The sequence below is a fragment of the Homo sapiens genome, chromosome 10, assembly GCF_000001405.40.
Source record: "Homo sapiens chromosome 10, GRCh38.p14 Primary Assembly".
NCBI lineage: Eukaryota > Metazoa > Chordata > Mammalia > Primates > Hominidae > Homo > Homo sapiens.
This window is the reverse complement of record NC_000010.11, coordinates 88,134,978-88,160,508: the sequence shown is the minus strand read 5'-3', so window position 1 is coordinate 88,160,508 and position 25,531 is coordinate 88,134,978. Positions and strand designations below refer to the sequence as shown.

Genomic DNA, 25,531 nt, shown 5'->3' with positions numbered 1-25,531 from the left:
AATTTAATTTTGTTGGGGGGGTGAGTTGGGGGGCTGGGCAGAGTCTGCACTGCATTGACAGGAGGAGGTGGTGGCTGTCTAAAAGCTGTATGTTGGAATAATAGCTATATTGGAGGAGAACTCTGGGAAAAGGAAAAGAAGGGTGGGAGTAAGGGGAGGGGAACCTCAAGCCAACTCCCCCTCTCCCTGTTTTTCTATCTCCCCATCCCCATTCGGACTACATTCTCAGATTCTAAACATTTCCTGAACTTCAAGCTCTTATTCCTCTCCATATTCACAGATTTTTTTTTTTTTTTTTTTTTTTTTTTTTTTTTTGAGACGGAGTCTCGCTCTTTTGCCCAGGCTGGAGTGCAGTGGCGTGATCTCGGCTCACTGCAAGCTCCGCCTCCCGGGTTCACGCCATTCTCCTGCCTCAGCCTCCCGAGTAGCTGGGACTACAGGAACCCACCACCACGCCCGGCTAATTTTTTGTATTTTTAGTAGAGACGGGGTTTCACCGTGTTGGTCAGGATGGTCTCAATCTCCTGACCTCATGATCCGCCCACCTTTGCCTCCCAAAATGCTGGGATTACAGGCGTAAGCCACCATGCCCGGCCCCCCAATTTTTTTTTAAATTTACTCTAAAGTGACAATACTACTTCCTAGCGGATATTTTATATGAGTCAAGGGGCAGGTGTGGGCTCTTGAAAGTCAGACACAAAAAGAGAGACAGAAGAACAAAGAGAAAACTTGCCAATGCCTAGCAAGGCCTTCTTATGGTAATATTATAACAATATAATATTATTTTCTTATATATTATGTCATTATATATATTTATATTGTTACTATTATTATTACTATTATTTATATTATTAGTATATTACATTATATATATATTTATATTATTACTATTATATGTATTATATACATATAATAATAGATATTAATAATGGTAGTAGTAATATAAATAATAGTAATAATATTACTATATATAATGATATAATATGTAATAATATAGTGAGTGACTGTGTGTGTGTGTGTGTGTGTTAGGGATACATAAAGGGAATAAACCTCCACAGCCAAGATGGCCAGGGGAGGTCTGGGAATCCAGCTGAGATGGGTTTGAGCAGGAGGAACTTAAAGCAAGTTCCTCAGACCTTGGGGCTCTCAGACTTCTGAGATCAGATCAGCTTTAGTCATGATGACACAGGGCACGGGGTGAAGCTGTGGAAGTCTGGTGGACTCACCTGGGAATGACCCAGGGGAGCTGCTGGGATGTTCGCCTATCAAAGGAGGAATGTGGAAAAGGCCGAAGCTTAGCAAGTAAACATGAGCCCCTGTGAGCATGAAAAGAATAAAGTAAGGACATGGGAAAGAGAGCAGAAAAAGCAGGAAGTAGGCTGGCAGGGAAGAAAAGATGAATTTGAGGGGTGGGGGAGAGTGCATTATTCTCATTTATGGACACTCAGGACGTTAGAAGCCAGTTAGTCATTCCTGAAATTCCTGATCCTGGTAAATTTCTCCATAGGAAGATGAGACCTGTCCACATGTGAATAGGCAATAGTCTCCTTTGTGAGGCATTTTATTTGCTGTGATAAAGTGCCTTATTGCCTTTGCCTTCCATAAACTGCAGGATTCAAATTATGTAAGATTTTAGGGTACTTCCATTCATACAAGGACAAGTCAAAGGCCATAATTACTGTGTTTATGTAATACAGATACATTTCAAAACAAAACATGAGCCATGCCCTTGCTTTTTGCAAAAGCAATTCTATTGAATCATAAATAAGTTTACACAGTCTTTATCGCTCTGCAAGATGTTTTCATTTTGTTTGGTCCATGTCCCAAACTGTATTTTGTTTTAGACTTCTCTCATTTTCTTTTGCTTGTGAAAAACTACTTAAGGCCAAGTCTCAATTTCTACAAACATTCTAGTTAAAAATGAATTATTGATTAGAGAAAAGTAATGCTATCATCCCGAAGGCCCTGTTTTCTTCCTTGGTTCCAGCTGTGTGCTCACCACCATCCTTTATCTGAGAAGCAAATGTATCAAGTCTAAGCAAGAAGAAAACACTTGGAGCAGGTGGGATTTGAAGGGAAATGGTGAGGGTGTAGAGCTGATGGAGTCCTTTCAAGACGGTGTTGCAACAGGAATTGGCTGTGGCAGGCAGAAAGATTCTTTTGTGTCAGAGACTTATGAGGATGATGGCTGGTAAAAAAATGGTATAATAAGAGGTTTTAATGGATAGAAGTCAAAAACGACTAAAAAAAGAATCAAAAGCACAAAGATTGACTGCAAACACTTTGGCTCTGAGCCTAAATAGAAAACCATACTAAAAGTTTGGGATACTGTCTGTAAAATGTAATTGAAAAAGAAGTAATTTATGTTTATAAGCTGGATAAACTTGGATAACACAGAGATACTCTTAGACTGAGTCATACACCAGAGCAAGGATGACTAGATTTGACCATTGGAAAGAAACAGGAAGTAGCCAGGAAGAAACCTGAGGCTGAGGATTTTTTTTTCTTGTGTAGAACAAGTACACCAAAGGAAATGGACATTTTGCATTAAAGGGCCAGTCTAGAAATGAAATAAATATTCACAAATCCTGGAACTTTTCAAGTATTCCTGAGAATACCCCATCAGCATGGTACTTCCTACCACTGGAGTGTCAGAGATTAGGCCCAGGGCAGCATGTTCCATGCTGGGCAGCAGTTTTCAATCTGAGATGGTCATTGCGAGTGGAAGTTCTTACTCAAAAAAGAAATAGCAGCCTTTGGGAATCTTTGGGAGGTATAATCCAGTTATTTTGATCCTAGAAACAATGAGGCTGCATTTTCCCGTGATAGGAAATGAAAAAGCAAACATTTGGGATGCTTCCTTACCAAAGTTTTAGGAAGAAGCATTTCTCCCCAGTGTGGGGTCAGGCCAAGACCAGTGATATATCAATATCAGTAATGTCAAAGATTCAAGTCCAACATGATCTCTAAGATCCTGTAGCCAGAGATGCCTATGGCCCAGCATTGTCAGGAAAAGCAGCACAAGAGACTCGGAGGTCATGAAGTTCACTGTGGCCTGGAAAGGGGGCTGACCAGGAAGGCTAAGCTAGGAAGATGAAGGTAGAAGGTGGACTCTAATTTAGTTCTGTAAAATAATTCTAGAAACAGTATTAATCTCATATATTTCTATAGGCCTTTATAGATATAGACCTTTACAATGCACTTTTATAAGCATTATCTCATTTAATTTCTAAAATGGAAGGGCTTGTATTTAAACTCAGTCTTTACCAATTCTTAGCCATGGTGATCCTGGACCAGTCACCTCTATGAGCTGAAGTTTTCTCATCTGTGAAATGAGGATAATAAAAATACTGACTTCCAAGTATTATAATGAAATAGATGCAAAGCCTTTCACATGGTGCCTGAAGAAATAGTAAGCACTCTCTACATTTTATTTATCTTTTAAAAATTTTAATAGACCTCACACTAACCCTGTGAGGTGCCCAGAGCAGATGCTGCAACTCCATGTCACAGATGAGGAAACTTAGAAAACTAAAGCTCAGAAAGTGACTTGCCTAATATGGCCAGGGCATAGACCCTCAGAGAAACTAGAAAATGTGTTGTGTAATCAAAACTAAGAGAGCTCTGCACAGTGGCATTCTGAGTTGCATCTCCTTGTGTTTGTACCTCGTTGCAGCTGGGAAGAGTCAGAGGGACAAACAAGTTTCAGATTTTTAAACCGAAGGAAACTCTGACAGAAAATCCAGCGCTTGCTGGACCATTCTGATTCTCACCCAGCAAGGGTTAAATTATGCTCAGGAGGATCTCAGGAGACAGCAGGGTCCAAAAAAAGAAGGAAGGGTGTTGTCCCTGGGAGAAAGATGTGCCTTGAAAGCCCAGATGCCCTCACTCATGCACATGGCAGTGCTTGGTGAGGACCTCCACCCTTGAGTCAGCAGAGCTGTGTGCATGTGGCTGACCTCTGGTCACATATCTCAGCCCATACCATAAAACATCAACTTTCTGGAATCCCCATGAACTGACTCATTGTGGAGAGAGTTGAGGACTTACTTTTTAAAGCACCCAACACTTGACAAAATATCACCATTACCTTTGTAATGAAAATGTCTTAATGGGTCACAGACTTCCTTGGCTTTTTAAGCCGAGTAGGTGGAGTATAACTTATCCTTTCCTTGACAACTGACCATCATGAATGATGCTGATGCTGCTGTTCTGAGCAACCATATTTTGAGTAACAAGGTTCTAGATGATCTATGGAAAAGTACTAGGGAATGTAACAACTAGAATTAGCTAGAAGGGCACCATCATGAACATCCATTATTATACTGGGTTGTATACACTCATCTTCTTGGGATATTTTGAAGCATGTTGGAAAGAGGTTTCCACTAAACTAAATATTTCCAGATTACTGCCTGAGCTTTCTTAGTACTTCTCTGTGCTTCATTTAATATTTTTTGTCTTGTCTTTTATTCTTTTGCCCTTGCCTGCCTATATCTATCTCTTGTTCTCTCCAAACCCCTCTAACTTGCCTCTTCCCTTCTACTATAGACAGCCAAGCTTTATAAAATAGGTTGTAAAATAGGTACAAATAACACTTTAAAAGGGTGAATTTTATGATATATGAATTATATCTCAATAAAGCTATTTTAAAGTGCATTGCAAACTATAAAATCTTACAAAAGGTGAGAAATCACATCACTCTGTTTATATGATAATAAACTATTTCACTCTTTTATTTAAAAATATAAAAGCCCAAATAGGCTCTGAGTTGACTTAGAACTTCTCCAGAAGTAATATGCCTAAGAGTTAATGTATGGCCTTTGAGACATCTATTTTTGTTTACATAGGTGATTTTTTGGCTTAGTTCTTCATCTTGTAAGTGAAATTAATAGTGAGATGTGGTATGACTCTAGCTGCTTTGATTGAAGCCTCCTTCTTTATCCTTTCTTCATTCATTTGGCATTTTTGGATGGCCTACTCTGTGCTGGGCCCTAGGAGTAAACATGAATTTCTAAGTGATTCATAAGCAAATGAGTCCTTGTGCAGATCTTTAGGTGTAACACTCTAGGAAGTATGAGTTTTAATGCTTCCTTGATTTTTTTCCCTTAATAACTTCATGACCCCCAAATCCAATCAGTCCCTATAGAAGCAGCATAACCAACCAATTGGATTGCCAGCCTGTTGTTGGAGAGTTGGCCCACAGAGTGGAGATTCCTGATCAGAGGACAAAGCTGAAAGGACAACATAGAACTACTTCTAATTGTCACATTCCCTAGTACTTTTCCATAGATCAGCTAGAACCTTATTACTCAAAGTATGGTTGCTCAGAACAGCAGCATCAGCATCATTCTCATCACACCTTGTAGTGTGTGAGAAATAGAAAATCTTAGGCTCCACCCAAGACCTATTACAGTAGAAGCAGCCTTTTAACAAGATGCCCAAATGATTCATATGCTCATTAAAGCTTGAAAAGCACTGATCTAGATAATATTTTACACTAGCATGCCTGAAACACCTGTCTCTTCACCCACTGCAATAATCACAGCTTTCAGAGCCCTTAGATGAATGATGCCCAACATGAGAGGCCATCGTTTGGCACAGAGGCACATCCCACCAGTTAGTAGGCAGAAGACGGTCTTGATGATGCTGAGCAGATGTTCAGCGTTCTTGCTGAACAGTCAGAGACCATTGCTGTTCTCTTCACAATGTCTGTCAGGTTCAATAACTCTTCTCCAGTGACTCACCTCTTTATACACACGTGCTGTAATTTTCTTTAAAGACTAGTTTGTCAGCAGCATCCAAAGCTGGATCTACTTCCTTTGTTGCAAAACTTCATCTGTATTCTTGGAAATACCCGCCCCCCAGTTCAAATTCAACTCTAGTCTTCCTAACACCATTTCATTCATCCATTCGTTCACTTGAAAAGTACTTACTGAAAGATTACTATGTGCCAGGGACTACCAGCATCTCCACCATGTAAACATTTGCACTCCCTCTCTGCCAACTAGCTTGCTTGCTTGCCTTTAACACTTAGTTTCTACTTTTTACATAATATTGGAAACATTTTTAAGTAGAAAACATACTCTCTATCCTTAAATAACTAATACTGTAATTGAGAGGGCAAGATATAGAATTTAAAAATATGTGAAGAGTAAATTTTCAAGTCCCAAAAGGGATGATATATCCTATACTACAACAAGCACTGCATTGTGCCTGAGTCAAGAATCCATTAATCCACTTCAGGATCCTAGATACGTCTCTTTGTCCTTCTAATTTTCAGTTTCTTCTTTGTCTTTTTTGTTGTTTGTTTTTGTTTGTTTGAGACAGCATCTCGCTCTGTTGCCCATGCTGGAGTGCAATGTCGCGATTATGGCTCACTGCAGTCTCAACCTCCCAGGCTCAAGCAATCTTCCTGCCTCAGCCTCCCAAGTAGCTGGAAGGACAGGTGTGTGTCACCATGCCTGGCTAATTTTTCTATTTTTTGTAGAGACAGGGTCTTGGTATGTTGCCTAGGCTAGTTTTATCAACTACTAAAAAAAAGTGTTAGACCATCTAATCTTAAAAAATTCCTCCCAGTCTCCAACAATTCAAATGCCCAAAGATGGCATCCTAAACATATACACTGAAGGAATTCAAGGAAAGAAAATAAGCACATGGGTTTGGATAGGGAAACTTTATATCATCACAGTTAAGAGTCCATTTTGATGTCACACAATTCTAAACTCAAACCTTTGAGCTAGAAATTAATACGCTTGAGGTCTTTGACCACTGGCTTAATCTCTTTGATCCTCTGTTTTCTCCTTCATAAAGTGGAAATAATAATAGTAACTATTTTATAAGATTACTACGAGGATTAAATGGAATAATTCATGTAAGGTCCTTCACACAATGCCCGGCATGAAGGATGTGCTAAATCGATGATGGTAGTGATGCTGGTGCTGATGGTAGTATTTTTAGGAAGGTCTCTGTGGAACAAGCAAGCCTTCCCAGTAAGGATTAAATTCCACTTTGAGTTGGAAGAACTGGTGAGCTATAGGAGGTGAACTACAAGGGGACTGACCAACGGGCCATAGAGAAGCAAAAGGAAGGAATGGTAAGAGGTAGGGAAGATGGAATACAGGTAAGTTAATAGATAACTTTGCTGACCAGAATGGATGTGGGAGGGAAGACTTGGTTTGACAGAAAGAAACAGTGCTTGAGGGTGGTGTCTCTAACATTTCTGGGCAGATAATGAGGGGTTAAGAGACTCAAGGCAGGGAGACCAGCCAGAAGCCCATAGTTACCTCTGGATAAATTACTGGGATCTAGACAATAGAGCAAAAAGTCAGGAAGCAAAAGCTCTGTCCTCTGGAGCTCCCCAAGGATCTTCAAGATCCTCCCTAAGAAATTCCTCTTGGTCTCCTACACACACATGTTTAGTATTTTTTCTCACCCCAATTAAAACTGGAGGAAACATGCAACCATGCCCATGTGCCTGGAAGGTATGTGAGGAGCTGAGATCACATCCTGTCTGTGAGTTCTGAGTCAGAGAATCCCGTAAGAGGATATTGAAGGTTACTAAGCAGGCCATGTCACTTTCAGTCTGGCTGTAGTCAGATCTTGTTGGATAAGAGCAGGGCCCAAGCCCTCCAGGCATGGCAAGGCCTCTGCAGTGCCATGTGGTTGCTATTACTGAGCCTAAACAATGAGCCAAGAGCTCATACAGACTGCTCATCCTGGCCTATTTCATAGGCTACACCCCAAGGCTGTCCAGAAGAACAGAGACTGCCCCAACATAACCATGGTAGGCAAATTATTTCCTAGAGACACACCAGAGGTGGAAGTGGGAGAGAACTTGACCTAATTATAGACTAAATTGACCAGAACTTTGCTCCTGGGATAACGTTATCACTGCTTGTTCCTTAGCATGCTCACTTGGGTTTGGCACGTTGTGGCTCTTCTCCACAGCTTCCTGGATGGCAAACATTGCTCTGGCCCCGTATTCTAAACGAAGAAACTGTCACATGATACACAGAGAGGTGTCTGGTGAGATGGGACTTCACTAGGACAGTTCAGCAGTACACACACACACACACACACACATACGCTGGCACATCCATCACTGGAGTGGTGGTGGGTGAAGCATGATTTCATACTTCACAATCTCAGTAATCTTCTGCGGAAAAAAAGATGTGATAGGAGATGGATGCAAGTTTTTCTAGTAGCACATGGTGGTCATGTTCCCATGGCCATAACCAGGTGGAGAAGTGAGGTGATTATGCAGGCAAAGATTGCAGTTTCTTTGAAGAACCACCCCAGGAAGATTCTCCAAGATCTCTCTCATTCTTGGCCTAAACTCAAGTGTTCAGCAAGTGATGACTGAGTTCTGGCTGTATCAACAATAGCCTCAGATGCTTTGATGGATTCTACAATGCCCTTGATAATCTGCTAAGTAGGTGAGGCCTAGGGAGAAAGAGAAGGCTTCCCAGAGACAGTGACATTTGAGTAGGATTATGGATGATGAGTAGGGTTCAAAGGCCCGAACTGAGAGAGCCCATTTCTTCAGAAGCCTCTGCTGCTGATACAGCCCAGCAAATACAGTATTCCTAATGAGTGCAGCCTACTCTTTTTAAGTCTTATCTTAGTCTCCCCTCTTCACACCTTAATGTTCCAGAAGATATCTCCTGTAGTAGAGAGGAACTGGTTATCCTTGAAGTGAGGATCTCTTTGTTATCAAATGGCTTTCCCTCTCTGTTCTTTGTTGTCCCCACTCCTCCCTAAATCACAGCCCCAGCTCTAAAACTTTAGCACTAAAATCAGCTGAAACTGAGACCTTATTTTCTAAATAGAAACTGAGGAACTATGGCCCAATTCAGCAACATACAAATGTACCTACCTCATTGGATGGTTATGAGGTTTCAGTAATTGCTTACTATATCTAAAGCACTAGAATAGAGCCTAATGTGTATAAGCATTCTGTAAATGTTTTTCTAAGAACAATAATGAGGCAAGTGCATTGATGCACCTAGTACTGGGGATGGCTCAGAAGATGGAGTAATTGATTCTGGATGGAGGGGTCAGTTAAGGCCCAGAGAAAGTGACATTTCTTCTGGATCAGATAGGAGAACAGTTGAAGGGGTCTCAACAGTTGAAGGGATTAGCAAATAACACTAGCAAGGTTCTTACAAATTATATTTTTTTATTTGAGATTAATTCATAGTAAAAATCTTAGCAAATGTTATCAATATTGAATGAGGCTTAGCAGAACATTTCATTAAAAGTCTGTAGCAAAAAGCTCAAAATTATAAGATATCAGGACAGTAATGTGCTGGTAAATTAACAATGGACTGGGAGGTGTGGGAGGCCTGATGTGTAGAATTTGCCCATTTCTAGGATGTGAATACTCCAACCATAGCTGATTTTAAGCTTCATTAGTCCCCCCTTATCCAAAGGGGATACAATCCAAGACCTCTAGTGGATGTCTGAATCTGCAGATAGTACCAAACCCTATGTATACGGTCATATGTTGCTTCTGGACAGGGATAAGTTCCGAGAAATAAATTTTTGGTGATTTTGTCATTGTGCAAACATCATAGAGTGTACTTACACAAACCTAGATGGCAGAGCCTACTACACACCTGGGCTCTATGGTACAGAATATTGTTCCTAGGCTACAAATCTGTATAGTATTTTACTGTACTGAATACTGCAGGCAACTGTAACACAATGGTAAGTGTTTGTGTATCTAAACATAGAAAAGATACAGTGTTTGTGTATCTAAACATAGAAAAGATACAGTAAAAATACAGTATTATAACCTTATGGGACCACTGTCCTATATGTGTTCCATTGTTGACTGAAACTTCGTTATGTGGCCCATGATTCTACTGTGTCTTTTTGATTTGATAACCGCAAAGGCCACTAAGTGACTAATGGACAAGGAGCATCTACAATGCAGATACACTGGACAAAGGGATGACTCACATCAAAGTCTGGGTGGAGAAGGCTGGCACAGATTTCATCATGCTACGTGGAACAGCAGGCAATTTTAAACTTATGAATTGTTTATTTCTAGAATTTTTCATTTTGTATTTTTGAACCCCAGGTAACTGAAACCAAGGAAAGTGAAATCATGGAGATGAGGGAACTGCTGTACCAGAAATATCAATGGACTCATAAAATTCCTAAAAATTTAACTATTGGCTCTCAGAAGCCAGTACACCAGGGATGCCAGGAGCACTCTGGGGAATAGAGAACTTGGATTTTCTTATTATGGTGCCCAGGACAGTGGAGAAGACTGATCCAATGCCCTGATCAGTGCACACTTGGAGGCCAGAGTCTCTGGAGGTGGATGAGACTTCCTATTGACTGAACTGCATGACTACTGAATCAGGCATGGGTTTTATTTGCAAGAAACAGAAACCTCTGGCTATTTTAATCAAGAGGTATAGATAGCTCACAGATTTTAGGTGATTCATAGATCAACGTTAGGCTTCCAGTAGCAGTGTCCAAGACCAGGATAAGAAAATCCTCACCACTGCCAAGCAGTCAATGGCAAGGTCTGCCTTAAATCTCTATAGCAGGGCCTGCCACCCCTCCTTCCATCAGCTCTATGCCACTTCTGCTGCTGCTTCCACAGAACACCAGACTCCATTATAGTAAAAATAAAAGACAGACATCAGGCCTGTTTGTTCCCACGCTCCCTCTCTTCCAAAGGGATGGCTCCCTGGGAGCTTGTGATTGGTTGGACATAGGTCCGGTGCTTGCCTTCCTGCTGCACAAAAGTCTAGGTTTGAACTCTGTGCAGCTACTTGGGGAGTAAGATTCATAACTCATTCATTTCTCTAAAACAGAAAGACAAATCAAAAGTCGGAGGGCTAGTATCCTTCACAAAGTCCACTGAGATTAGCTTTAGGCCCTCCTCTGCCTTGCAGAAAGGCTCCCACTGGAACTCAATATTGCTATTCCTTAACTTCTTTCTACAAATAAAAATGTCACCTGCTAGGGAGGAATATAGGACACATTATGCCTAAGTTCTTGCCCCACTGTTTCTACACTATCACAAAAAGAAGTATTGTAAACTCTAACATTGTGTAGGAAAAACAGCCACACTTGGGATCAGACAGAGCCCATTGCCTAGGCCCTCTGTGCCTCAGTTTTGTCAACTGTAGAATGGGGACAATAATAATACTCTACCTCATTTGTTGTGGTGAGGATTCAATGAAATCTGCTAGGTAAAGAAACCTGTATCACAGTGGTGCTCAGAGCCTGTTAAAACTTTTTATGAGGGGCAATATGGCATAGTGGCAAGAGGATGACTTTTGGAGTCAGACAGACAAAGTGATGGATATGACTTGAGCTTCTGTTTTCCCATCTCTAAAATAAAGATAATAATAACAATGCCTGACTTACAGGGTTGTTTTAAAGATGAAAAGAATGTAATCTGTCTACCACAGGATCTGGCTTATAATAATAATTGCTCAATAAATAAGTCATTATCAATGTTATTACAATTATTTATGTCATGATACAGCATGGCCTAGGTGAGAATATTAGCTGTTCCCAACTTGATTGACTTCTCCGAAGGCATCTTGATTAAGAAATTAAAAAACTGCAAAGAGTTCTATATTTTTTGTCATGATTTATGTCATATATTCTGGTGTACAAAGCACATTCATTGTCTCATTTGCACCCTATGCTGTTCTTGTGAGGTGATATGGTTTGGCTGTGTCCCCACCCAAATGTCATCTTGAATTGTAGCTCCCACAATTCCCATGTGTTGTGGGAGGGACCTGGTAGGAAGTAATTGAATCATGGCAGCAAATCTTCCCTGTGCTATTCTCCTGACAGTGAATAAGTCTCACGAGATCTGATGGTTTTATAAAGGGGAGTTTCCCTGCACAAGCTCTCTTCTCTTGTCTGTTGCCATGTGAGACGTGCCTTTCACCTTTTGCCATGATTGTGAGGTCTCCCCAGCCACGTGGAACCGTGAGACCATTAAACCTCTTTCATTTGTAAATTGCCCAGTCTCGGGTATGTCTTTATCAGCAGCATGAAAATGGACTAATACATGAGGCAAGCAGAGCAACTCTTTAAGACCACTATTATTTCACTCCTCTGCCTTGCAGCATAAAGAAAGAGTCTGCTGCAGAAAGGTTAAGTGATTGTCTCCATCACACAGCATATTAGTGATAGAGCTGAGGCCAAAGGGAAAGACTTCTGGGTTTGTGTGGAGTGTTCTCCCCACCACTTCATGCTGTGTTTTAGTTTTTCTTGCATCTATTTATTAACTTTTGTATGTCAGTCTCTATGCTAAATAAGTTCTGCTGATTCAAAGATCATTAAAAGACAGTGTTTGCCCTCTAACCAAAATAATTTAAGAAAACATTCCACCACCACCCCCAGAGAATTTAATAGAAAATACTTTTACCAATTACGTTTCTCCCAATATTTCCAGAATTGTATTCACAAATAGAATGTCATATTTAAAATAGAACAACTCCTTTCACTTGAACCATCACATATAAAATTAACGTAATAACATGAAAAGCCAATGTTAAAATTAATACAGTGAAATTTTTAAAGCATTACTTTTTAACTTGTTGGAAGTTATTTCATTTTTCAAATTAACTTCACTACTAATAAACCAGCCAGTTTGCCAAGAGAAAGCTAAATTAGGTGCCAAGATATATCATTTACAACAAGCAAATTCGAAAACTTCTTAACTTTCTTTCTTTGGGTCTGGATCTGGGTCTCCTAACACAGTTTTCCTTCTGGCTTTGTTTTGACCCCAGCCACTGTGAGAAGAATATATAAAACACTATGGGTTCCAGAATGTTCTGTCCTTGGAAGATCTCCATTTGGAGGTTTTGGCCAAATGTCCTATTAATTCCCCTATGACTAAGGCACTTTGGGGTCAGCAGAACTTGGGGTCTACAGGGATTACAGAAAAGGACTGGGTACAGAGTTCACACCAAGGCTACGTGTTTCAAAAACTTGGGGCAAAGCCAGACCCTGCTTCACGGATTTGGAAGAGAGTTTGCTTAAAGAAGCTTTTCCCTAGTAAAATCTTCTTAAGTTAATATTCTTGTTCTTTTATTTCCAATAATAGTAGCAGCCACCACTCAATGAGAGTTGTGTATGCGCCAAGCACTTTGCTTACACTATTTCTAATTTTTATAAATAATAAAGTTGTGAGGTATTCTAATTCCTCTTTTACAGTGACACAATTGAGACAAAGAAGATTTAAGTAATTTTTCCAAGGTCACGTAATAAGAGGCGGAGATGACATTTGAAACCAAGGCTGGTTTTATTCCTCCTTCCTCTGTGCTGCTGCTGCCTCATCCAACATCTCCTACCATAGCCACAGGGTGATCCATCAAGTATGTCCACACAGGGAATTTGAATTGTTGGTCTAAACATATTTACTGATAGCCACTTATACATCCAGCACTATATTAGGCACTGAGGAATCTCAAAGATGAATTCTAGGCTTTAGCTTATTTCTTGACTTGGAAAAAAATTTCCTTTTTGGACATTGTCTTCTCATTTGCCAATTGTCTATTTCTCTGACCACTGGACACCAGACAAAAATTAGCTTCTTCCAGCCAGGTGTAGTGCCTCATGCCTGTAATCCCAGCACTTTGGGAGGCCGAGGCGGGTGGATCACAAGGTCAAGAGATCGAGGCCCTCCTAGCCAACATGATGAAACCCCATCTCTACTAAAAATACAAAAATTAGCCAGGCACGGTGGCACGTGCCTGTAGTCCCAGCTACTCGGGAGGCTGAGGCAGGAGAATCACTTGAACCTGGGAGGCGGAGGTTGCAGTGAGCCGAGATCATGCCACTTTATTCCAGTCTGGCAACAGAGCAAGACTCCGTCTCAAAACAAAACAAAAATTCTCCTACTTTAATTCATATTGCATGCAAAGATTGTTGTTGAACTTCCTTTGGAGAATACCCTGAGACCCTTGGCCAGAATTGGCTCTAGATTCATAGCACCATAAGTAGGACAGCTGAATGATGTTGTTCAGTGATCCTCAAATCAGAGGGTGAGGAATAGAAAGGGACAATATAGGAGTGGGGTGGGGGATGAAGAGTATTTTGAAAAAGTACAATCAATATTATAATCTAGTGTTATATTTAGAAAATGAAATGCATTGCTGTCATAATGCAGACTTTGAAAATATAACTTGACTATAACTTCTTTGCTAGTAGAGTACTGGTATAAAAAAGCTGAGTTGAGAAATGCTGCTCTACGTATATGTGAGTTGACTGGGGAAACAAAGCTTACCCCTCAGTCTTGATTCCATGGCCAAGATCTCAAGTCCATGCAAAGACTTGTTCTGTTTGCAAAACTCCAAGTCATCATTTTAGTGACTGGAATTCAGATGTGTGTTTAGTTTTATTTGTTTTGTTCTTTATCTTCCTCACTTGAGAGAGAAATAAACCAAGGTTTTCTTCTCCTAAATGGGCTAGGAGGGAGAAAAACATGAATAGATTATGTTCTAATGGGTTACCAAAGATTCCTACACACCCGCCTGGATTCCACTCAAATCCAGAGGCAAAGAGCACAGAGCATGCCTACTTTATGAAGCAAGAATGTCTGGTAAATCTACCTCTGATTTCATAGGATTGAAAATGGGTTCTGGCCATCAACCACACTGAGTCAAGACATGTATGCTTTCTGTGTCCCCCCACCCCACCCCACCGGCCACTCTTCGCCCTCCCTCATCACTGGCCAACTCATCACCTTTAAAAAATCCTCATTCACTGGCTATTTTACAGCAGAGCCTCAGGGGAGCTAGGACACATTAGTAATCACAACTAGTTTCTGAAACTAATGGCAAAAATCAATAATTTACTAAAAGGAAGGAATAGGAGGAAGGAAAGAAGAGAGGGAGGGAGGGAAGAAGGGAAAAAGGGAAGGAGGAAGGTAAAAGGGAAGGAGAAGGGGAGGGAAGGAGAGGGGAGGAAAGGACCACATGCCTGGCAAGGTATATAAATTCATCTTTCTGGAGGCAATGAGGAATGACTAGGGTTCTGACCAGCAAAAGAATATTGTAAGTGATCAAAAGTTAAGAGAGGACCTATCAAGGTAGGTGGAGAGCGTTAGATCCAGGCCTTATGTTTAGAAGGGGAATGAACACAACATTTTCATCCAAGTATTAATTTGCTAGACAATTTAAATAAACCATATTTGTGATTCTTTTGGGCAATTTATTTTTCATTTTGTAATATAGCCGGACCACTCAGAGGGCCTGGTTAAGATCCTTAAGATAGAGGGTGGGGTACAACAAACCAAACAAATGTAGACCTCTCAGGATACAAACAGAAACTAGGAAGCAGTCCCTAATCCCAGAAAGAAAATGGCTTCTAGGAGAAATGCATGGCCCACTAACATCTGCATAATTTTAAGCATGACTCTCTCCTTTTATGGATTTTATATATCATAAATCTGCCTAAAATTCAGAAAAAATTTCCACAGCTCAAAAGAAATAAAGTTTAAAACATAAATAAATACCATTACAACAGAAAAACCTCCTTCTGAGAGCAATGTTTAAAACTAGATAGAACATCAAAACAAAACAGTCTATTTGAAATATTAAAGAACAATAAATAGTAAGAAATTCCTGGGACAACATCTAGAAAAAGGCAGTACCCAAAGAGATAACATTCAAAGTTACTCTGTCCTAAGGGCATTTGCCAGTATAAAGCAAAAGCTACAAATCGGAACTGCAGTTTTTGTGGACTTGCGGGTGACGCAAGTCAAAGTGCAGATTCTGCCCAAGGTGGGTTCTCTAGTAAGTCACCCTCCTCTGAAACTGGGCCCCTGAAGGTCAAGTAGCCTTCCCATGTATTTATAGCCTGGGTTTATGTCCTTTGCGTGGTCTAGGGAATAACAAATTTGAACTTGTTATTTCCCTATATACCCAAAAAACAAATAAAATCCCTTCTGAAAGATTTCCTCATACCAATCACAATTCTCAAATTGTTGTTACAAATAATTTCTACTGTATCTGGACATATAGTTTCTACTACAGCAGGACAGATTCACGATGGTGAAGAAAGAATAGTGGTTACCAGAAAGGGGATGATGGCATTGACTAGGAAAGGTCATAAGAAAGTCTTAAGAAATTGGATATATTCAATTCAAAGTTTTGTTCACTTTAATGTATGTATATTATTCTTGGGTTTTTAAAAATGTTTTTAAATTGTAAAGACAAGCACAGTCAAAGATAGTCAGGCACACAAAGGAAGAAAACTCCATGAGAGAAAGCCAGAAGAAACTACAGAGAATAGAAACAAACCAAAAAGACTTCAGATAGTGGAATTGTCAGACACAGACAATAAAACAACAACTGTTTACTGTATTTAAATAAATAAGGATAAATTTAAAAATACTTCAGAGAATAGAAAATGGTAATGAGTGGCATTGTCATTTAAAAAACCAACTTCTAAAACTGGAAAAATTTATAATAAAAATTACACGAACATGTTTAACATCACATTACACATGTCAGAAGAAAGTAAGAGTAACTGAAAAAAAGAACGAAAGAAACTATCCAAAATATAGAACTGAGAGAGAAGAGGCTAACAAAACATGCTTGTGGAAACCAAGCAAAAGCACCACTTGAAGGGAGAGTAATAGCCTCAACTGCATATACTTCCTTTTATTGAATCTATGATAGTATCTATTGTAAGATGTGCCAATAATTTATGTACTACAATGAGAAGAAAATGCTTGCAACTGAATCACGACATGCCATCAGTTGCAAGATGCATCTCAGTTTCAAAGATGTTAAAATGTGTAAAATGTTTGTCTTATAATACATGAAGTATGGTATTCAGAAAGTAGAAAGGCTTAAAATCAATAAAATAAACATATCTCTCAAAAAGTTAAGAAAGGAATATCAGAAAAACCCTAAGAAATATAAAGAAGGGAAAGAGTAAAGATAGGAACAGCAATCAATAAAATATGAAACAAATAGTTCAAGAGACTATCAACAAAACTTAAGATTGGTTCTTTGAAAAGACTAAGAAAATTAATAAAACACTGATAAAGCTGATATTTTAAAAAGAAAAAAGATACCATTATATCATAAATGGAAAAAATAAGGCCTTACTACAAATCTTGCAGACATCGCAAAGATAATCAAGTAATACTATAAATAGTTTTATACCAATAAATTAAACTTTTTGATGTAATAGAAAAATGTCTTGTGAATATATATAACTTACTAAAACTAACACAAGAAAAAATATACCATCCGAATATCTCATAAGCATTAAAGAAATTGAATTGTACTAAAAAAGTCTCACATTCAAAAAACAAACAAAAAAATCTAGACCCAAACAGTCAAGAAAAAACAACAACAAAAAAACTTTAATCTTATGCTCTGTTCTGGGGAAATGAGAGGAAGAGGAGACAATTCTCAATTCATGTGATGAGGCCAGCAAAACAATTCAGTATGAAAAAGGAAAGCAATCTTGAGCAAAATCATTAGTTAACTAAAGCAATACATAGAAAAGATAATAGGTAATGACCGAGTTGGCTTTATCCCAAGAATTCAAGTTTTGTTTAAAATTAGAAAATAAATCAATGTAATTTACTTCATTAGCAGATCAAAGAATCATATGATCATCTCACAGACAAAAGGAAGCATTCAACAAAATTTAATATACATTCATGATAAAATTATATATAATCCTCTTTGCACATTAGGTATAGAGATAACTTCCTTATCATAAGAAAGGATAGCTACAAAAATCTACATCAAAAATGTCTTGCTTAATGGTGAAATGTTAAAATATTTACATTTGAGATCAGAAAAAAGGCAAGGATGCAAGCTTGCTTTCACTTCTATTAATCATTGAACTGGAGGCCCTTATCAGCACAACATGAAGAAAAGAAAAAAAAGAAAAGAAAAGAAATTAGAGCTATAAAGTTTGGAAAGAAACAAAACTGTAATACAATTTTTAATGTAGAAAACCCCTTAGAAACTATATTTAAATTATTAAAATTGATAACAGGGTTTGGCATATTTGTTGGATACAAACTCAATATATAGAAATCAACTGTATTATTATAGTCCTTTGATAAAAATCTAGAAAATAACATTTTTAAATCACATTATTTAGTACAGCATCAAAAATATCAAGTTCCTTGGAATAAATCTAGCAAAAGATATGTGAGACTACTATGAAGAAAACTGGAAATCCTTATTAACAGTCATTAAAGAAGAGAGCTATTCCATGTTCATGGATGGGGAAACTTAGTGTTACAAAAATGTCAATTCACCATTGTTTTAAAAGTCATTGTAATTCCAGTCAAAACTCAATAGGTTGTTGAGGATTTTGACAGGCTGATTCTAAAATTTCTATGGAAGTGCAAAAGGAAAATAAGTATCTTCTTTAAGACAATCTTGAAGAAGAAAATCAAGGTGGGAGAATTATGTATACCAGATACCAAAACTTATTTTAAAGATACAGTAACAGACGTTGTGGTATTGGCTCAAGGGTAGATAAATAAAACCGTAGAACTCAAAAACAGAAACATACATATATGGATTTAGTTTATGAGAAGTGGCACTGCAAATTAATGGGGGAAAGAGGGTTTTTTAATAAATTATAATGGAAAAAGAAAAATGCCAATGAATTCCTAGCTCAAACTGTATGTAAAAGTCAACTCCAGGGGGATTATGGAGCCAAATGTGAAAGACAAAACTATAAAGCTTTTAGAAAAAAATACAGTAGGTCTTCATGATCTTGGGGTAGAGGATAATTTTTTGAACAAGATGCATAAAGTAATATTCATATTGAAAAAGACTGATACATTTGACTGCATTAAAATTAAGAATTTCAGTTTACCATAAGACACCACATTGCAAGTGAAATGACCAAGCTACAGAATTATAGAAATTATCTGAAAAGCATACAATCCCAGAATCGGTAAAGAATATCTAAAAATCAAATTTTAAAAGACAGAAAACCAAATACAAATGGGCAAAAAGTCGTAAACAGACGCTTCACAGTTACTAAGTCCAAATGGTCAATAAACATATGGAAAAGTGCTCAACCTCATTAATAATTAAGGAAATGAAAGTCAAAACCACAGAATACCAATACCACTACCATACACATTCATAAGAATGGCAAAAGATTAAAAGGTCTGCCAAAACCAAGTGTTGCCCAGAATGTGATTAGAGTAAAAACTGATACACTTACTTTGGAGAACAGTTTGATAATATAAACGTGTCCACCTTGGGTCTATGCCCTAGACTACAGAAACTTGCACACATGTACACCAGGATGAGTGTAAAGAATGTTCTACACAGCAGGCTGAAATAACCAAAAAAGAGACAACTGCAGATATAAATTGTGGTACATTACCAACTGGAAAGCTAAAGAGAAATGAAAGCAAATGACAGCCACACACAATAACATGAGTGAATCTTACAAATATATTGATGAAAAAACAACGTATGTAATTTGATCCTATTTACATAAAGAAAATGTTAGAGATGCCAATTTGATAGTCAAATTACATAGAAGATCAAAGAGATGATTGTATTGAATTGTATTGTATTGAATTGAGGATGGTGATTCCCTCCAGGGTCAAGGGAGAAAGCTGTCATCCTGAAGGAAACACAGGAAGCTTCTAAAATGCTGGCAGCATTCTATTTCTTAACCTCAGTGTGAAACATAGGTGTTGGCTTTATAATTATTCACATTATTGTGTATCTGTTTTATATACTTTTCTGTATGTATGTTATATTTTACAATTTTTGAAAAGTTAAAGAAAAGAAAAAAGTTACCAGACCCTATAATCACCAAGATCTCTTCCATTGCTGAATTCCTGGGTTTTGTTTATTTTCTTTTGTGTTTTTTTTTTTTTCATTTATTCTCTAAGCCAGAAAAGTGTCACCATGTTAAAAAGGGAATATATGAAAGAAGGGACTTTAGGTCATTCATCAGATAGATGATCTGGCTTTTCAGAGCCAACAGGTAAAGATATCTGCCTACCCACTGCAACCTAAAGGATACTACTGCAATTTCAGATCCTCAAGAAAAGCTGAAAATTCCTGAGCACCACCTGCATCCCAGAATGCCCCCTTAGCTCTGCAGGGAGAAAGAGATGGTAATTCAGTCTTTAGGGACAAAATATGCATGGGTTCTTTCTGGGAGATCTATAGGCCAGAGGCAGACCCTGGCCCAAATCAGACCCTAATGTCAACTCACATTAGAGAAAGAAATTGTAACCTCTTCTTAGTAACAGGTTTTCTTGCCAAAGCTCTACAGAGAGACCTTTCAGGTATAAACCAACTGGTCAAAGCAGGATGCCTGAAATCTCCAGCTCCTATTGGGGCAGGCAGATGTTATCTTTTTAACAGAAAATTTAGCACAATGCAAACTGAGTGTATGCTAAAAGCTTAGGCCCTGATTGTAGTCCTCCCATTCCTCAGAAAGTAGAATGCTATAGTGACTCGGATTAATCGAGTCAATCAATAAATAATTATTGAGCAAATGATGCGAGTTGGCCATCTCTACTAAAAATTGAGGTAATAACACTAAAAAGGCACATGTTCTACCTTGGAAGATACTTGAGAAGATAGTCATCCACAAATAAGCCCTTAACATACAATGAGAATAATCACTTCTACAGATTTCTGTGTTAAGTGCAGGGGCAGCACTAAAGAAGCAATTAAGGCTGGGCACAGAAGCTCATGCCTGTAACGCCAGTAGTTTAGGAGGCTGAGGTAGGCGAATCACTTGAGGCCAGGAGTTTGAGACCAGCCTGGCCAACATGGCAAAACTCTATCTCTACTAAAAATACAAAAATTAGCCAGGCATGGTGGTGCATGCCTGTAATTCCAGCTACTGGGGTGGCTGAGACACGAGAATCGCTTGAACTGGGAGGCGGAGATTGCAGTGAGCTGAGATCATGCCACTGCACTCCAGCCTGGGTGACAAAGCAAGACTCTGTCTCACAAAACAAACAAACAAACGAACAAACAAAAGAAGCAATTAAGTCAAAGAAGTCTTCATGAAAGATGTAACATATGTTCAATGATCCAAGAGTGTTTGAGGATAATATTTGGGTCAGTTGACTGGATAGAAAATCATAAACTTTTAAAGCCCTAAATCTAATACCTTTGAATTCTCTGACAGATGCTATTAAGATTCCTATGTCCTCTCTGATGACGTCTATGCAACAGCAAAATACCCCACTAAATGATTCTCCATGGTAATGATTGCTATTCCTGTTGCTATTAATTTTACTGAATTCACAAGCCAATAAGTTTGACATGTAGATTTAAAGTGGGCATACATCTCCTCCAATTGTTAGGTTTTAAAGCCTGCACTTACAGGGGAAAATTTCATATAGTCAAAAATACCCTTCACAAAGCCCCCTATTTTATCCACACATGACAGCATACATTATCCTGTGTATATACAGCCCTATACAATAATTTTTAGGCATGTTTAAGTGTAAGGACCACTGAGCTAGACTAACAAAAGACAAACAGGGCAGTCTCCATGAAGATGTCTGGGCATGCAAATAATTCTGGTTTTGATGTAATTATCAGACTCCTAGCACTGAAGGAGAGATGGTTGGAGAATTCTATAGTACTTCCAGCTTATCTGCATAGTTTATTCCATTCTGTTGTAAACTTACCTTCTCTAACTTTCTTTAACCTTACTATCTCAGCATGTAATAACATATGTATGTTCCTGCTATGTGTTTTCTTCTTTATGAGTCCATGGTTCACAAGATAAATGAGTCATCTAGGTAATTTTTTTCCTATCACTTCCATTGGATGATGGTAGCTTGATGCTGTTGAACTCTATTTCTGGAAAGACACGCCTATCCCCTGAAAGGAAAAGGTTTAAGTAGAGGGGGATTTTCCAGGACAACACTTAAATTTCATGTTTGCTCGACTCAGAAATATATCAGCTTAGAGACTGAAAGATCTTAGAAATCACCTTGCTTAACACTTAGCCAGCAGAGAGTGGAGGGAGTGACATATGAAAGTGAAGCTGACAAGGAGTAGATCTGTGTTCCAGTTTCACCTCTGCTATTGAGAAAACCACATTATCTCCTTGTGGTCCAAGTTCATCTACTTGTGAATGGAGGCTTTACTACATTTTTAAAATATGACCCCATCTAACTTGGGCTTGAATAACCTTGTCCAATCATTTAATCTTTCCATACCTCAATTTTCTCATCTGTAAAATGAGAATAATAATAGTTTCTACCTTAAAGGATGTTATAAAGATGAAATGTCATAAAGGATTAAATGCGTAATTATATGCATATATTTATACACAGTATATGTATATATGTGTGTGTGTATATGCATACACACACATACATACACACATACACACACATATAGAGAGAACAGTATGCACTCAGTAAAATTTGCTGCCATATAAGAATATTATTGTTACTGTTATTAGGCTGTGATTCTTTCTTCCTGCCATATGAAATCCCAGAAGTCCAGCCCAAGAAAGCGTATCACAAGTTACACAATGATTACCAGTTAATTCCACATTTTGTGAACTTCTACTGATCATGAATATCTAAACTAAGCCAGGCACCTACCCCCACCCACCCCCCACACACTACAATACACCAGTTTCCAACATGGCAAGTGGCCCACAGCTGAACCATTTACACAGCCACATCTCAAAGGCAGATGGGTAATCCAATGATGATGTATAAGCACCTTTCCCCACCACAATTTATTTTATTCTAATTATATAAAAGTGCTCTGGGAAGCAACCTAATCAAGAACAATTTAAATTTTGCAAATGAACAAAGAGTTTCCAGTGTAAATTCCCAGATCTCATTATAACAAACATGGATGAGATACAGCTACAGCCTGGCCTACACAAATGCCCTCAAAATATTCTCAACAGGGAGTAGGACTAGATGGCTTCCAATGATTCTTCTAACCCTAGAATACTAGTATTCCATTGGCTAATATTACATTCAAAATGTAGGAAGTCAAATGGAAAATAATTATCAACAAAGGTGTATTCATGGTGTTTATTTAAAACTATGTAGTAAGGGTCAAGGCTGGAACTTTATATTCCACTAGCCACTTTCTTTGCCCTGCTTTGAGTGCCTTCATCGGGTTAACTTCCTTTTTAACACTGGCTTGGTAGTTTGTTTCCCCAGGTTCTTAACTTTCAACATGCTCTAATAAGTCACTCTCTTGCTTCTCCAAACAGGCTTGACCAAAGCTGTGCCCCCTCCTCCTATAGAAATTATGTTGTAGTATGGTTTTTCAGAATCCCCAGCCTTTTTAGGTTGCAATTACCAGCAACCCTGTACCTCCTCGGTTTTTATTTCAGCCTCCATATAAAAAAAAAAAAGAAAGGAAAAAAGCAGATGATTGTTTAATCCTTCCAATTAACATTTTATAAAAGCAATCACTTCATGTCTGCAGTCTGAGTGGGGCTAGGTGGGAATTAAAGGGCCACAGTACATCATAAAGTGGCTAAAAAGAAACACTTTGAGCCAATTCACTGGGGACAGTCCCTGCAAAACCAGAATGTCTACTCACTTTGACCTACAGCAAAAAGTGTCAAATAACTAGGACAAGTGCTAGTGCAAACCACTGGTCTAGTCGTTAAACCTTAGCACAGCCACTGGGTAAATGGGGCCACACTCAGACCCACCAATTAAAGAAGCAATCTGGCGGAAAAAGAAACATTGAGTTTTTTTCTTTTCAAGTTTTTTTTTTTTTTTTTTTCTCCCTCAGAAAGACCTGAAGACATAAGTGATGAGAGGAATAGCACTCTGGCCAATATTTTGGAGTTTTCTACTTAGGAAATCAACATAATCTTTTCTACCTAAGTAAGGTGAAACCACTTTGTTATATCAGGAACTGCTGCTGCTGGGAGCTAGGCTCATGGCAGCCTAGTGAACGAGGCCCTGTTTTCTGTTAATGTGTTTATGGTTTACACAGAGAAAATGATAGCATTTTAAGAGGCAAAAGAAAATCCTTGGTCAGCAACCAGGCAGCCTTCTAGCCTTCTAGCCTTCTATCAGAAGTTGTGCTAAAGGGCAGTTGACAACTTGAGGCTCACTGTTCTGGGTAGATGAGATTTTCAGGCAGGTGGATCAAGGCAGTGATGGAGAATAACAATAAAAGAGCTAACATTTCTGCTGTGGCAGCTCTGAGGTAGTTCCTGTGTGAAGCCCTTTATACGTATTAGCATACTTAATAGTTTCAGTAACCCTAGGGACAGTTTCTATTAATATCTCCATCTTTCAAATAGAGAAACTGAGGCACAGAGTTATAAGAAAATTATAGGTCACAGAACTAGAAAACCATCATATCTCATCAATAACACACCCACCATACATTCCTCTCCTGCAGCATCTCTGGCTGAACTTCATTTATCTTCTTTCAGAGCAACTGCAGCAAGATGGCCTTGCTTATAAGGTACAAAAGTCAAGACCCGGTAACACCTCCTACATTTATTTGAATAAAGGCATATCATTTTCAAAAATTAACGTATCCTATTGGGCCCCACAACACCTTATGGGGTAGAAAAGGCAAGACTATTTATTTTGTTTCCAAATTCTCTTTGAAATTGTATCCAGTGACTAAGCATTCTCTGTGATTAAACTTTTAGAAGTTTCTTTCAAAACAATAATTGTCAAGATAGAGTAAGTCGACAACTTTACCCATTTGTGGCAGGAAAACAGACAGGTTGTCTTGTTTGGAGCAGTGTCTGAATGTGGGGTGAGAGAGGGAAAGTGCATTATGAAACCATAGGGATGGTAGCCAGCACACCCCAAGTAGCTCAGAGACTCATGAGCACAGGCAATGATTCTGTGTATTTTCTCTGCCTTGTTTCTACAGGCTTTTGAAAATTAGGCCCAAATAAAGTAAGCACTTCTGAAAGATAGAGCCATTTGGGAAGTTGACATTTTCCCTAAATTCCCTATTTTCTATTTTTACTCCCATTTCTGAGTCGTGGTATAAAATTGCAGGCTCTGCAGAGATCTCGAGCAGTGATCAAGTCCCGGCTTCTATACTTACTAATAGCAGGACCTACAGCAAGGTACCTCATCAGTCTGGGTCTCAGTATTTTCATCTGAAAAATGGAGATTTTGGCTGAGAAAATCAAAATAATGTAGATTGTGCTGAGCGTAGTTTTTGGTACTTACTAATCATTGAAGAACACAATCCTCATCTCTACCCCCTGATTAATGTTTGCTATAAGTGAGGATGTGAATAAGGCATAACTAGTAATGTACAATATTTCAGACTTTCAAAAAACCGTGATAAGATTTCATACCTGTGGCCACATTGGGTCACATAGCATCAGAGAACTGACTATCTCAAGGCTTTGAAATGTATTTTAAAACAGGACACAACAGATTGGGATAATCATATACTTCACTGTGTCAAAAATTGCTCACTTTGGGGTTCCCCAGAGATTTGTTCTTTGAATAATCTTGTTTAACATTTGAATAGATGACTTAAAAAATCAAATCCTAAAATGCCTGCCAATAACACAAAGAGCT

At 38.5% G+C, this 25,531-nt stretch overlaps 1 long non-coding RNA gene across 1 annotated transcript in view, besides 1 other annotated feature; it reads right to left on the bottom strand.

Annotated features, from left to right (window-relative positions):
* LOC101929727 (uncharacterized) overlaps positions 1 to 25,531 on the bottom strand; it is a 248,010-nt gene that overhangs the window by 219,613 nt on the left and 2,866 nt on the right. The gene's annotated exons all lie outside the window — the stretch shown is intronic.
* Positions 7,726 to 7,865: an enhancer, noted in NCBI's record as "active region_3720". NCBI's record gives its function as "activates an Ori minimal core promoter by ATAC-STARR-seq in GM12878 lymphoblastoid cells {active_cell/tissue: GM12878}" and the evidence as "EXISTENCE:reporter gene assay evidence [ECO:0000049][PMID:35858748]".